We start from the raw sequence: 10,520 nt of genomic DNA, 5'->3' as shown, positions 1-10,520 counted from the left end.
GCACTCCCAGGAGGTCCCTTTTCCTGAGCTGAGGATGCCCCAAGCTCCTGATATGTGTACATCAGGCCCTCGCTATATGGCCTTGGGCAAGTCATTGACCTAAGTTTCAGAGTCTTCCTTTAAACTTGGATGTCAATTTGTACACATCCGAACAGTGCAGAAAAGACCCTTAGAGCCTGGTTTATGCAAATTCACCATTTTAAGTAATAGGAAAAGGTGGAAGGGAGACTTATCCAAGGTCTCACACCACAAGATAGAAGAAGATTAGGACTCTACAATTTTGAGGGAAATAAGGCTGAAAAAAATAATTTACGTGGAGGCATAGGTGTTGAGATCAGATTCCTTTCTGTTCCAGTTGAAAGGCACTGGTTCCTTTTCTCAAATCAAAGAGAGATTCCCGTGTGAGGGGTAGATAGTCCAAGTTCAGTTTCATGGACTAGCTGTGTGGTTTTGGGCAAGATCTTCAGCCTTCTTGGGCCTGTTTCCTTATCTCTGAAATGAAAATGATAAAGACTTAACGCTTAAGGTGTTGTGAGAGTTAAATAAGATAACCTATGAAAGTCCCCTAGTATGTGGTAGTTGCTCAAGAAAGAAACTTGAGGCCAGGTGCAGTGGCTAACACTTGTAATCTCAGCACTTTGGGAGGCCAAGGTGGGAGGATCACTTGAGCCCAGGAGTTCAAGACCAGCCTGGACAACATAGTGAGACCCTCCTCTCTACAAAAAAAAAAAAAAATTAATTAGCTGGGTTGGTGGGACGTCCTGTGGTGCCAGCTATTTGGGAGGCTGAGGTGGGAGGCTCATGAGCCTGGGAGGTCAAAGCTGCAGTGAGCCAAGATTGCACAGCTGCACTCCAGCCTGGGCAAAAGAGTGAGACTGTCTCGGCTGGGCGCGATGGCTCACACCTGTAATCCCAGCACTTTGGGAGGCCAAGGCAGGGGGATCACTAGGTCAGGAGATCAAGACCATCCTGGCTAACACGGTGAAACCCCATCTCTACTAAAAATACAAAAACAAAATTAGCCGAGCGTGGTGGTGGGCACCTGTAATCCCAGCTACTTGGGAGGCTGAGGCAGGAGAATGGCGTGAACCCAGGAGGCGGCGCTTGCAGTGAGCCGAGATCATGCCACTGTACTCCAGCCTGGGCGACAGTGCAAGACAGAGCGAGACTCGGTCTCAAAAAAAAAAAAAAAAAAAGAGTGCTTATACTAAACACTCAGGGAGGGCTGGGTGTGGTGGCTCATGCCTGTAATCCCAGCACTTCGGGAGGCCAGACAGGTGGATCACCTGAGGTCAGAAGTTTGAGACCAGCTTGGCCAACATGGCGAAACCCCGTCTCTAATAAAAATATAAAAATTAGCCGGGTGTGGCGGCACACACTTGTAATCCCAGCTACTCTGGTGGCTGAGGCAGGAGAATTGCTTGAACTTGGGAGACGGAGGTTACAGTGAGCTGAGATCGCACCACTGCACTCCAGCCTGGGCAACACAAGACTCCGTCTCTAAATAAATAAATACTCAGTGGAAGAGATAGAGACTCTGAACTCAGGGACAAGAGTTCAAAGCCTGTAGCCTTGGAATAACTCTCCCCATTCAGAAGCTGTTGGCCCTTGTTAGCATCTGACAGGGTTACACCTGAAACCCACTCCCCTCCCAGGTCCTGTCCACCCAAACTTGCCACCACCCGGCTCTTGGGAACAAGTAAAGTTATCCTAAGAAGGCCTGCCCTGCATCCCCTTCACAGCAACAGGGACATCTGTGAAACACGATTTATTATATAAAACAAGGTGCATCCAAATTCAGTGTCAGAAGAGCTTTGTATTTCAAGGGCTAAGGACTGGACCTTCTCCCTTAAAACCTCCTTACCCAACCCTTGCTAAGGACTCAGGCCTGGGGCAGAGGCTGTCAGTCTCTAAAGACCCCAGCCCTGGACCAGGACGGGGAGAACAAGTTTGGTGCATAGCGTGGGGCTAGGGCAGTGGGTCAGGCACCATCCCTTCTGCAAGTGGCCACAGGTCACCACAGTGGGGGAAGGTGGGGAGCTTGAACCTCCAAAGATAGGTTCATTGTAGGAAAAGCTAGACCAATGCCTTGGGTAGAAACACCCAAATCCCTCTACAACAACTAAAGCAAGAATGTGGAACCCATCGAAATCTTCCCCCAAAATGCCAACCATAAAATAGATTCTACAGAAATAAAGAAAGGAATCCCAGCACTTTGGGAGGCCGAGGCGGGAGGTTCACTTGAGCCCAGGAGTTTGAGACCAGCCTGGGAACAGCGAAACCCCGTCTCTACAAAAAAATTAGTCGGGTGTGGCAGCACACACCTGTAGTACCAGCTACTCACTACCTGGGAGGCTGTGGTGGGAGCATCTTTTGAGCCTGGAAGGTCGAGGCTACAGTGAGCTGTGACTGTATCACTACACTCCAGCCTGGGAAACAGACTGTCTCAAAAAAAAAAAAAAATTAAACCAACAATTGGCTGCCTTCTGACCTTCACATCCTGTATAGGAATGGAAATGGTGGCTAAAGTCAGCACTGAAGGTCCCACAAGCTCTCCCTGCCTCCCCTCTATCTACTGCATGATCCTTCAACTGAGGCCAGCCCAGGTGCAGAGTAGCTTGCAAAACCCAAGGGACAGACTGATGGGGAAAATCCCTGGGAATGTGGGAGCTGCCCCAAGGCCCAGCCCAGAGGACCCTGCGGGCAGGAATCTGAACTCTGCCTGAGAGTGGCCACTGGAAGTGGCTCCAGCCAGGGGATGGGGGGATGAGGTCTGTAGGCCCCTGCGGCCTCTTACAGACCCCGGAGGGAGGCAGTGCTTGCAGTGAGCGGTGGCTAACACCAGTCTCACACAGCCTGCAGCTCCCCCTGCAGGCGATTCAGTTCCTCTAGTTCCTGCTTGTAGCGGTCTGTCTTGTGTGCCACCAAGGAGCGGTAGAAATGCAGGGCAAAGGCCACAAACACGAGCCCCACGGGTACCATGATGGCTGTGGAGGCCATGGCTGCTTGCCAGCCTGGCCCATGGGCCCCACCACCACCACAGGCTTGCCGGGGTGGGCAGGCTGGCTCAGCTTGGGACGGTGCTGCAGACGCAGAGGACCGTGGGAGATTGGAAGCTGGACTAAGGGAGGTAGCCACTGGTGCCAGAGTCCCGGGCACCCGGGATGTGGGCACCATGGGGGTCGGTGTGTCCAAGGGAGCCCCAATGGGCACAAACTTGACCCAACCAACCAGGACAACTTCAGCAAGGAAGAGAAAGGTGCCCAGGGCAGTGGAGAAGCCCCAGGCCAGCTCCACGTAGCGGTGCAGTCTCTGGTGTGGCGACTGGTGGACAGAGTTGAGGTTGTGGATGTTGCTCACAGCTTCAATGTGGGGCAGCAGACACGTGGAGACCATGAGTGCAAAGAGGTGCACAGCCACCAGCACGGTGGTGCAGGCACTGAAGGCCACCAGCAGGCCTGGTGGGTACTCGTGGTCACTCTCCAGCTGCACCTCCACCATGGCCACCTGCAGGGACAAGAGGGGATGTACTGATCTCCCCATAACCTCAACTGTAGAGATTTTTTCCGCCTATCGGGATACATCACTGATACATATCCCTAGGACCTAGAACTGTGCCTGGCAGAAACCAGAGACATTCAGTCTCTGTTGAGTAAACGAATGGACAGCTTTGCAAAGGCTCTGTTCTGTTCTGGTTTCCCCACCTCCCTATCAAGAGGGCTGGATGGCCGGGCGCGGCGGTTCATGCCTATAATCCCAGCACTTTGGGAGGCCAAAGTGTGTGGATCACCTGAGGTCAGGAGTTTGAGACCAACCTGGCCAACATGGCGAAACCCCGTCTCTACTAAAAGTACAAAAATTAGCCGGGCATCGTGGCACATGCCTGTAATCCCTGCTACTTGAGAGGCTGAGGCAGGAGAACTGCTTGAACCCAGGAGGCAGAAGTTTGAGTGAGCCGAGATCATGTGACTGCACTCCAGCCTGGGCAACAGAGCAAGACTCTGTCTCAAAAAAAAATTAAAAATAAAAATAAAAAAAAGGGCTGGATGACATGCTTCTAACAGGTTTACTGCATAGGGATCAAACAGCAGATTCTGGAGCTGGGCTGCCTGGGATCATTCTCTGCTCTAGCTGTGTAATCTTGAGCAAGTCAGTTCTCTGTGTGCCTCAATTTCCTATCTGGAAATAGAGATTGATAACAGCACCTCCCTGCCTTATAGGGTTGGTATAAACATTAAATGAAATATACATGAAATGGGCTGGGAGTGGTGGCTCACGCCTTTCATCCCAACACTTTGGGAGGCCGAGTTGGGCGGATCACCTGAGGTCAGGAGTTCAAGACCAGCCTGGCCAACATGGTGAAACCCTGTCTCTACTAAAAATATAAAAATTAGCCGGGCGTGGTGGTGTGCGCCTGTAATCCCGGCTACTCAGGAGCTTGGGAGGCTAAGGCAGGAGAATTGCTTGAACCCAGGAGGCAGAGGTTGCAGTGAGCCGAGATCGCACCACTGCACTCCAGCCTGGGTGACAGTGTGGGACTCTGTCTCAAAAAAAAAAAAAAAAGAAAGATAAGAAAGAAAAGAAAGAAAGAAAAAGAAAGAGGAAAGGAAAGGAAAAGGAAAAGGAAGAAAAAGAAAAAGAACAGTGCCAGGCACAGAGTAAGCACTAGGTATGTGTTTGCTGTTCTTGCTATAGTGAATGCTAAAGTCTGAGGACAGAGTTTACAAATCGGCACACTGTGGACCACTGCCAGCTTGCAGACGTGTTTTGCTTGGCTCACACAGTGTGTTTCTTAAAAAATGGAAGATGCTGCCAACTTGTAAAACTGAAGAGATTTCTTATATCCCTATTTCCAGATCCCCTTGAAAACTTGGAAGAACTAGCCACACTTGGCCTGCGTTCCTGCATGGCAACTATCAGCTCAAATCAGTCATGGCTGCTCCCCTTGGAAAGGTCATGGGGTCTCTCTTTTTTTTTTTTTGGTAGATGCCAGGTCTTGCTATGTTGCCCAGGCTGGCTGGACTCGAACTCCTGGGCTCCTAGGCTCAAGCGATCCTCCTGCCTTGGCCTCCCAAAGTGCTGGGATGAAAGGTGTGAGCCATCACCCCCAATGTCATGGGGTCTCTTGCTTGCTAGTCCCTACCCAGCCAATTTGGCATCCATATTACCTGCCTGGCCCTTTGCAAACATTTGAGTTGATGACCCTATTCTAGGAATTTATAAATTTGGAGTCTGGAACCAGACGGCTTAGGCTCAAATCCTGCCACTTACTTGCTGTGGGACCTTGGGCAGGTGTCTTAACATCTCTGATCCTCAGTTTCCTCATCTGTAAAATGGCCAGAGTAGCAGTACCCACTTTGTAGGCTAACAGATGATGTATATAAAGGCACTGAGGGCAGTGCCTGGTGCTTAGTGACAGCTGGATACAATTTGTATAATGCTATTCTAACTTAGGCCACCTGAGTTTCAGAAGCCCACTCTCTCCCCATCCCTGGTTCTTGTAGGGTCCATTCGATTGCTCTGGGCCTGGGGAAAGAAGAAGGTAGGTGTAGAGGCTGGCGGGTGGAGGTAGGAAAACAGGGCTGAGTATTTTGGGAAATTGGGCCATGGCAGGTGTCAGGAGGTGTTTTCCACAGACAGGGATCTGGGCCAGGCTTAGTCCTGGTTTCTCCCAGAGCCTGGCCCAGCCTCGGTCACCCCTGCTAGGACTGCGGCCAGTCCTGCCCCCGGAACCTAAACCTCCAGCCCCTTCCTCCTGCAGAGAAGGCTCGGGCCCTTAAGCTGTCACCCCAGCAACCTGCACCTGCATATTCTGCCGTGGAGGGATTGTCTCCTTGGGAACAGGCTGGACCATGGGGTTGACCTCCCTCAGCTTGGGTGGCTGCTCCCTTCCCTCTGCAGGCTGTGCAGATGAAGGGGAGCCAACATCCTGTCCCTAGGTGATGCCCCCATCATGAAAGGTAAGCTGGTCTGTGGATTCTGGGACCCCACATAGAAGACCATAGGCTTATGATGACCCTTAGGGTTAGAGAGTTTCCCTGTCATTGTTCAAATATGGAGGTTGTGGCACAGACAGGGCAGGGACTAGCCCAGATCCCCTAGCGCCATGGTCCCCACCCCAACCGCCTCTGATATCCACCCCCACAGGAGTGCGTTCCCCAAAGTACCTCCTGCAGCTCACTTTCTCCTTTTTCCTGGGGTGATGGTGGGGCAACCCCAGACTAACAGAGCAGCAACCCTGGGTCCCAGTTCATTCGCTCCTGCCCAGAGGCAAGGCTTTTACTTTCCACACCTGTCCAATTAGCAGGCTAGTCTGAGCCATCCTTGGTACGTGACCTGCTCTGACATGCCTGGCTCACCCTGGGGCGGTTACTTGGCTGGCTACAGAGGGCGCACCCTCCATGATCTCAGTTTCCCACTGGCTTGCAAGCGGGGTGGAGGCCTGTCCAGGGTCACACAGCTGGCCACAAGCAGGGAGGAGCCAGGACTGTGTCTGCTGATCCTCACCCTGGGACCTCCCTCCATCCCACTTCCTGTGAGGCCACTGCTGGGGCAGACCGTTAGCCAACACCGTCCTCCTGCACCTGGGGTTTATCAGCTTGAGACTCGCTTATCAGTTTCCTCATCAGCCTCCTTCCCCAGCGGTTCCCTCCCGGGCATGATCTCTTGTCAGTTTTCCTGGTTGACACTAGCACCCCTTGGGCCCGCTGGAGAGTGGCCACCTTCCCTGGGACGGGCCCACCTTCAGCTGGGTGACCCTTCCACCCAGCTAATCCATCTCGAGCCCCCCACCTGTTGATGCAGCCCCCACCCAGCTGACCTGCCTTTGAAGCTGGCACTGGGACTTAGGAACCACTTCTGCCAGGTACAGGCTCCATCTGGACCACTCTGCCTCACTGTTGCAGTCAACCCCACCAGCGATTTGTTCACCCCACTCCCACTACGACACCTTTAGGACTTTCGTGTCCTCCGGTGGCCCCGTCTCCTGGGGTCCCCTGTACACACACATCCGTAAGAAGGGACTTGCTCAGTCCCGCGGGACCTTGTTCCTTCCCCCTTTGACGAAAGCCCCCTTTAACCTGTCTCCCTTGGGACCTGTTTACTTCGCCCCCCCCCCGACCTGTGCCCCCCACTTGCTCTGCCCCACCGGGTGTGACCCCTCCCGGCCCCTCACCATGGCGAAGCCCGAGAGCAAGGCAGACGTGCGGCTGGAAGCTTTGAGCTTGGCCCGGCTGAGGTAGAGGCGGCGCCAGCTGAGCGCCCGCAGCGAGTGCTGACTGGCCCCCATGAGGTCCAGGTAGCCGCGGTGCACGAACTCCCGGTACGTGGCCGAGCCTGCAGGGCTCTCGCCCTCAGGGTTCAGCGGGGCCTGCTCGCCCGCGTCCCCCTCGCCGCCCTTCATCCTGGGGGGGGGGCGGCACCAGGCGGTCACTACGGGGCGGAAGCGCCTCGGGGGCCCCAGCCGGGCCGGCCCAAGCCCGGGGGCGGCCCCATTCCCAGACAGGACGAGCAGGATGCAGGCGGCGGGCGCCCAGGAAGAGGCACCCCCAGTGGAGCAAGAAAAGCAGCGTCTGCGGGGAGCCCCAGGAGCCGGAGCGGGACAGCGGAGGCCAAAACAGGAACTGGGACAGAGGCGGAGCCGGGGCTAGCCACATGATGGGGTGGAGCCGGGGACCAAGTCCCCGCAGTCCCGGGCCCGCAGAGATTCCCCGCGACCCCTACCCACCAAGAACGTTATCCAAGCGCCCGGACCCCACCGAGGTGCACGCCAACCCCAGCCCCCTCCAAGGTACAGCTGGACACCCCAGGTGTCCACACTTCCAAATCCCTCCCAAAATGAGTCCAGGAGAGGTGAGCCCACTCATCTGTAGGTAGGGACCCCGCAGATACACACACGAACTCCGCAGCCCCGGCTGGAAGATTTTGAGTTTTATAGCAAACCGTATTGTACAGACCCGGGGCCCAGGGGCCCAGCCCGGCTGGGTCCCCCGCTTGCCCCTCGCCGGGCTGCCTCTTCCCTCCCCCAAGCGGCCCCATTCTCAAGCCTCTCGCTATCCCCAGGCCCCACCCCTCCGGCCTTTGGTCCGCCCAGCCCTCCCCCCACCCGCGCACCTCCCTGTTACCTGAGGTATGTGGATAGATCTCCCCTCCCCTACATGGTAAGCCCCGGCCCCCCGGAGGCCTGCGCGGAGGGGCGGGACCTGGCCCGGCTCATCCCCGGGGTCCCGAAGCCCCACCCCGCGCTCGAGGAAGGGGCAGGGAAGGAGGGCCAGCAGAGTCTGTTACTAGGTTCCCATGGCAACTAAGAGGGGGCCATTTCCAGCCTTAGCACTGGCATCGGGAGGTGTCCGTTGGCTGCTATTTCCATGGCAACCAGGAGTGGCAGTTCCCTGGGCAAATGGGATACAAGTTTCCATGACGATGAAAGAGTGGGAAGAGCCAGGCTGGAGGAGTCCCATGGTCCCCATTCTTGGGCTGGCGCCCCCAGCCATAATGCGGGTCCGGCGGGTGCCGCCGCTCAATACAGTAAAACAAGAACAAGCCTGGGGGTGGCGCAGTCCCAAATGGGCGCCCACCGGCCCGGTCTCAGGTCTCAGTCCAAGCTGGTCCAGTCCCCTCACACCCCGGCTCCCCCAGGTCCGAGATTCCCCCGGTTCAAGTAACACTTCAGTACAGATGAATGTTCAAGTATTGTGCGGAGAGGCGGGCAGGGGGTTGGGGCGCCCCTCGCCACTCCCCTGGGCCGCGAGCTGAAGAGCGGCTGCCCGCGGCCCCCACTCCTTGCAATAGCTGCCGTTTTCAGTGACGTTCAAGGAGTCAGGGTCAGGGGGAAGGAACTGAAGCCTGGGGAGGGGGGAAGCAGAGAGGTGACCCCCAAGGGGGTATTGCTGTCCCCACACCTGCTCTCATCCCCACCTCCAGCTCAGCCCCAGCTTGCCCCTGGTTCCCCTACCTCTGACACCTGGATCCCCAATTGCTCCTCCGGTTTTCCTTTTGTGGCCCCACCCCCACCCCCCACTCCAAGTAACTGGTCTTTGTTCCCTGAACCCTTGGTGGTCTGCTGTCTGCCCCGCCCCCCGCCCCTTCCACCTCCCCCAGCCCCTGGCTCCCATATCCTGTGTGTGTCCTTTCCCCATTCTCCCCCCCAACACTTGCACCATAACCCCCCTCCCACCGTCCCTTCGGCTCAGCACCCTCCAGTACCTCTGACCCACTCCCCCAGGGGATGGACAATGAAGCAGGTAGCAGGGGCAGGACATAGGAAGGAGAAACCCCCAGAGATATCAGTGCAGGGGGGAAAGAAGGGGGTGGCTGGCTTGAGTCCCTGGGTGGGAATCCCAAGTCACTGACACTCAGGAATCCCAGGGTGGTGAGGTGGGAACCTGGCCTCCCAGCAGGGGTGAAATGAAGCCGGAGGTCCAGGCTCCTGTCGAGTCCGGGGGAGGGTGGGGGGCGCCCAACTAGCTGTCCTTGAGAAGCAGCTTCTCCTCAGGGCAGCGGAAGGGGCCAGGGGGCCCGGCAGCTGCCAGCCGGGCACAAGCTTCGGGTGAGAGCTGGCGGCAGGAGCGCAGGTCTAGGCGGCGTAGACGAGGGCAGCGGCGGAACAGCGGGAGGCAGTGGTCCGTTAGGCGGTGGCAACCTGGGGATGGGGCAGTGGAGCTGAGACCAGGCAGGTGAGCAAGGGGTTGGCACTGGCCGTGGGGATCCACAGGCTGGCAGGACGGATGGGGGACCGTGCTTACCAGCAAGATTGAGGTGCACCAGGGTCTCGCGGAGTGGGGACGTGGGGGCCGTGAGGAGGTGAACACTGGGGTCCCCGACGTGGGCGCAGTGGCTCAGGTCCAGGGCGCTCAGCTGGGGTGCGTGACGCAGCAGGAGACGCAGGGAGGCATCTGTCAGCTCCAAACCTGCCAGACGCAGTTCTGCCACCCCCTGCAGCCGACCACGGCTCTCTGTTTGCCCTGGGCAGCCAGATGAGAGGTCAGCACTCCTGGCCACTCCCATCCCTGCGCCCAGGTATCCAGACCATCTGCCCTCCACCTGCTTCCCACATAAGTGAGTGACCTGGTGCACTCTGTGGCTTGCTCTTCTCAAAAACACCCTCATGGCCTGACCTCATCTGTCCACTCCTCACATCACCTCCTCGGAGGCCTTCCATGATTATTGTATTTGAGACTACAATATTCTGCCAGGCGTGGTGGCTCATGCCTGTAATCCTAGCACTTTGGGAAGCCGAGGCAGGCGGCTCACTTGAGGTCAGGAGTTCGAGACTAGCCTGGCCTAACATGGCAAAACCTTGTCTCTACTCAACATACAAAAATTAGCCGGGTATGGTGGCAGGCGCCTGTAATCCCGGCTACTCAGGAGGCTGAGGCAGGAGAATCACTTGAACCCGAGAGGTGGAGGTTGCAGTGAGCCACGATTGTGCCACTGCACCCCAGCCTGGGCAACAGAGCGAGACTCCATCTCAAAATAAATAAATAAATAAATAAAAGAGTCTGTGACCTCCCCTCCTCTCT

The 10,520-nt window shown here is 56.4% G+C and overlaps 2 protein-coding genes across 6 annotated transcripts in view, besides 7 other annotated features; both read right to left on the bottom strand.

Moving 5' to 3' along the window:
• Positions 1,754-7,624, bottom strand: ORAI3 (ORAI calcium release-activated calcium modulator 3). The gene is made up of 2 exons (NM_152288.3): positions 7,175-7,624; positions 1,754-3,507 (listed from the first exon to the last, which is right to left on the bottom strand). Exons 1-2 carry the CDS (start codon positions 7,400-7,402, stop codon positions 2,848-2,850), a joined length of 888 nt encoding a protein of 295 aa, NP_689501.1. The 5' UTR covers positions 7,403-7,624; the 3' UTR covers positions 1,754-2,847.
• Positions 3,126-3,691: an enhancer, noted in NCBI's record as "H3K27ac-H3K4me1 hESC enhancer chr16:30964322-30964887 (GRCh37/hg19 assembly coordinates)". NCBI's record gives its function as "activates a minimal SCP1, AML or CMV promoter by ChIP-STARR-seq in naive H9 embryonic stem cells {active_cell/tissue: H9 hESC(naive)}" and the evidence as "EXISTENCE:reporter gene assay evidence [ECO:0000049][PMID:30033119]".
• Positions 5,751-6,268: an enhancer, noted in NCBI's record as "H3K4me1 hESC enhancer chr16:30961745-30962262 (GRCh37/hg19 assembly coordinates)". NCBI's record gives its function as "activates a minimal SCP1, AML or CMV promoter by ChIP-STARR-seq in primed H9 embryonic stem cells {active_cell/tissue: H9 hESC(primed)}" and the evidence as "EXISTENCE:reporter gene assay evidence [ECO:0000049][PMID:30033119]".
• Positions 6,269-6,498: an enhancer, noted in NCBI's record as "active region_10740". NCBI's record gives its function as "activates an Ori minimal core promoter by ATAC-STARR-seq in GM12878 lymphoblastoid cells {active_cell/tissue: GM12878}" and the evidence as "EXISTENCE:reporter gene assay evidence [ECO:0000049][PMID:35858748]".
• Positions 6,787-7,305: an enhancer, noted in NCBI's record as "H3K4me1 hESC enhancer chr16:30960708-30961226 (GRCh37/hg19 assembly coordinates)". NCBI's record gives its function as "activates a minimal SCP1, AML or CMV promoter by ChIP-STARR-seq in primed H9 embryonic stem cells {active_cell/tissue: H9 hESC(primed)}" and the evidence as "EXISTENCE:reporter gene assay evidence [ECO:0000049][PMID:30033119]".
• Positions 7,229-7,278: a silencer, noted in NCBI's record as "silent region_7404". NCBI's record gives its function as "represses an Ori minimal core promoter by ATAC-STARR-seq in GM12878 lymphoblastoid cells {active_cell/tissue: GM12878}" and the evidence as "EXISTENCE:reporter gene assay evidence [ECO:0000049][PMID:35858748]".
• Positions 7,319-7,578: a silencer, noted in NCBI's record as "silent region_7403". NCBI's record gives its function as "represses an Ori minimal core promoter by ATAC-STARR-seq in GM12878 lymphoblastoid cells {active_cell/tissue: GM12878}" and the evidence as "EXISTENCE:reporter gene assay evidence [ECO:0000049][PMID:35858748]".
• FBXL19 (F-box and leucine rich repeat protein 19) overlaps positions 7,909-10,520 on the bottom strand; it is a 25,933-nt gene continuing 23,321 nt past the window's right edge. For all 5 annotated transcript variants that reach the window (NM_001382780.1, NM_001282351.1, NM_001382779.1 and 2 more), the window contains exons 10-11: positions 9,744-9,962; positions 7,909-9,640 (exon numbers count right to left, since the gene is read on the bottom strand). In NM_001382780.1, the coding sequence (NP_001369709.1) occupies positions 9,462-9,640; positions 9,744-9,962 (398 nt within the window). In that variant the 3' untranslated portion in view covers positions 7,909-9,461. The remainder of the gene's footprint in view (positions 9,641-9,743; positions 9,963-10,520) is intronic.
• Positions 7,949-8,198: a silencer, noted in NCBI's record as "silent region_7402". NCBI's record gives its function as "represses an Ori minimal core promoter by ATAC-STARR-seq in GM12878 lymphoblastoid cells {active_cell/tissue: GM12878}" and the evidence as "EXISTENCE:reporter gene assay evidence [ECO:0000049][PMID:35858748]".

This window comes from Homo sapiens, chromosome 16 (assembly GCF_000001405.40).
Source record: "Homo sapiens chromosome 16, GRCh38.p14 Primary Assembly".
Taxonomy (NCBI): Eukaryota; Metazoa; Chordata; class Mammalia; order Primates; family Hominidae; genus Homo; species Homo sapiens.
This window is presented reverse-complemented; position numbering and strand designations above follow the sequence as displayed.

Coding starts and splice junctions, on each gene's coding strand:
- ORAI3 (NM_152288.3), bottom strand. CDS start 7,402: ATGAAGGGCGGCGAGGGGGACGCGGGCGAGCAGGCCCCGCTGAACCCT. Junction 3,508..7,174: donor TGCTCTCGGGCTTCGCCATG/GTGAGGGGCCGG, acceptor TTGTCCCTGCAG/GTGGCCATGGTGGAGGTGCA.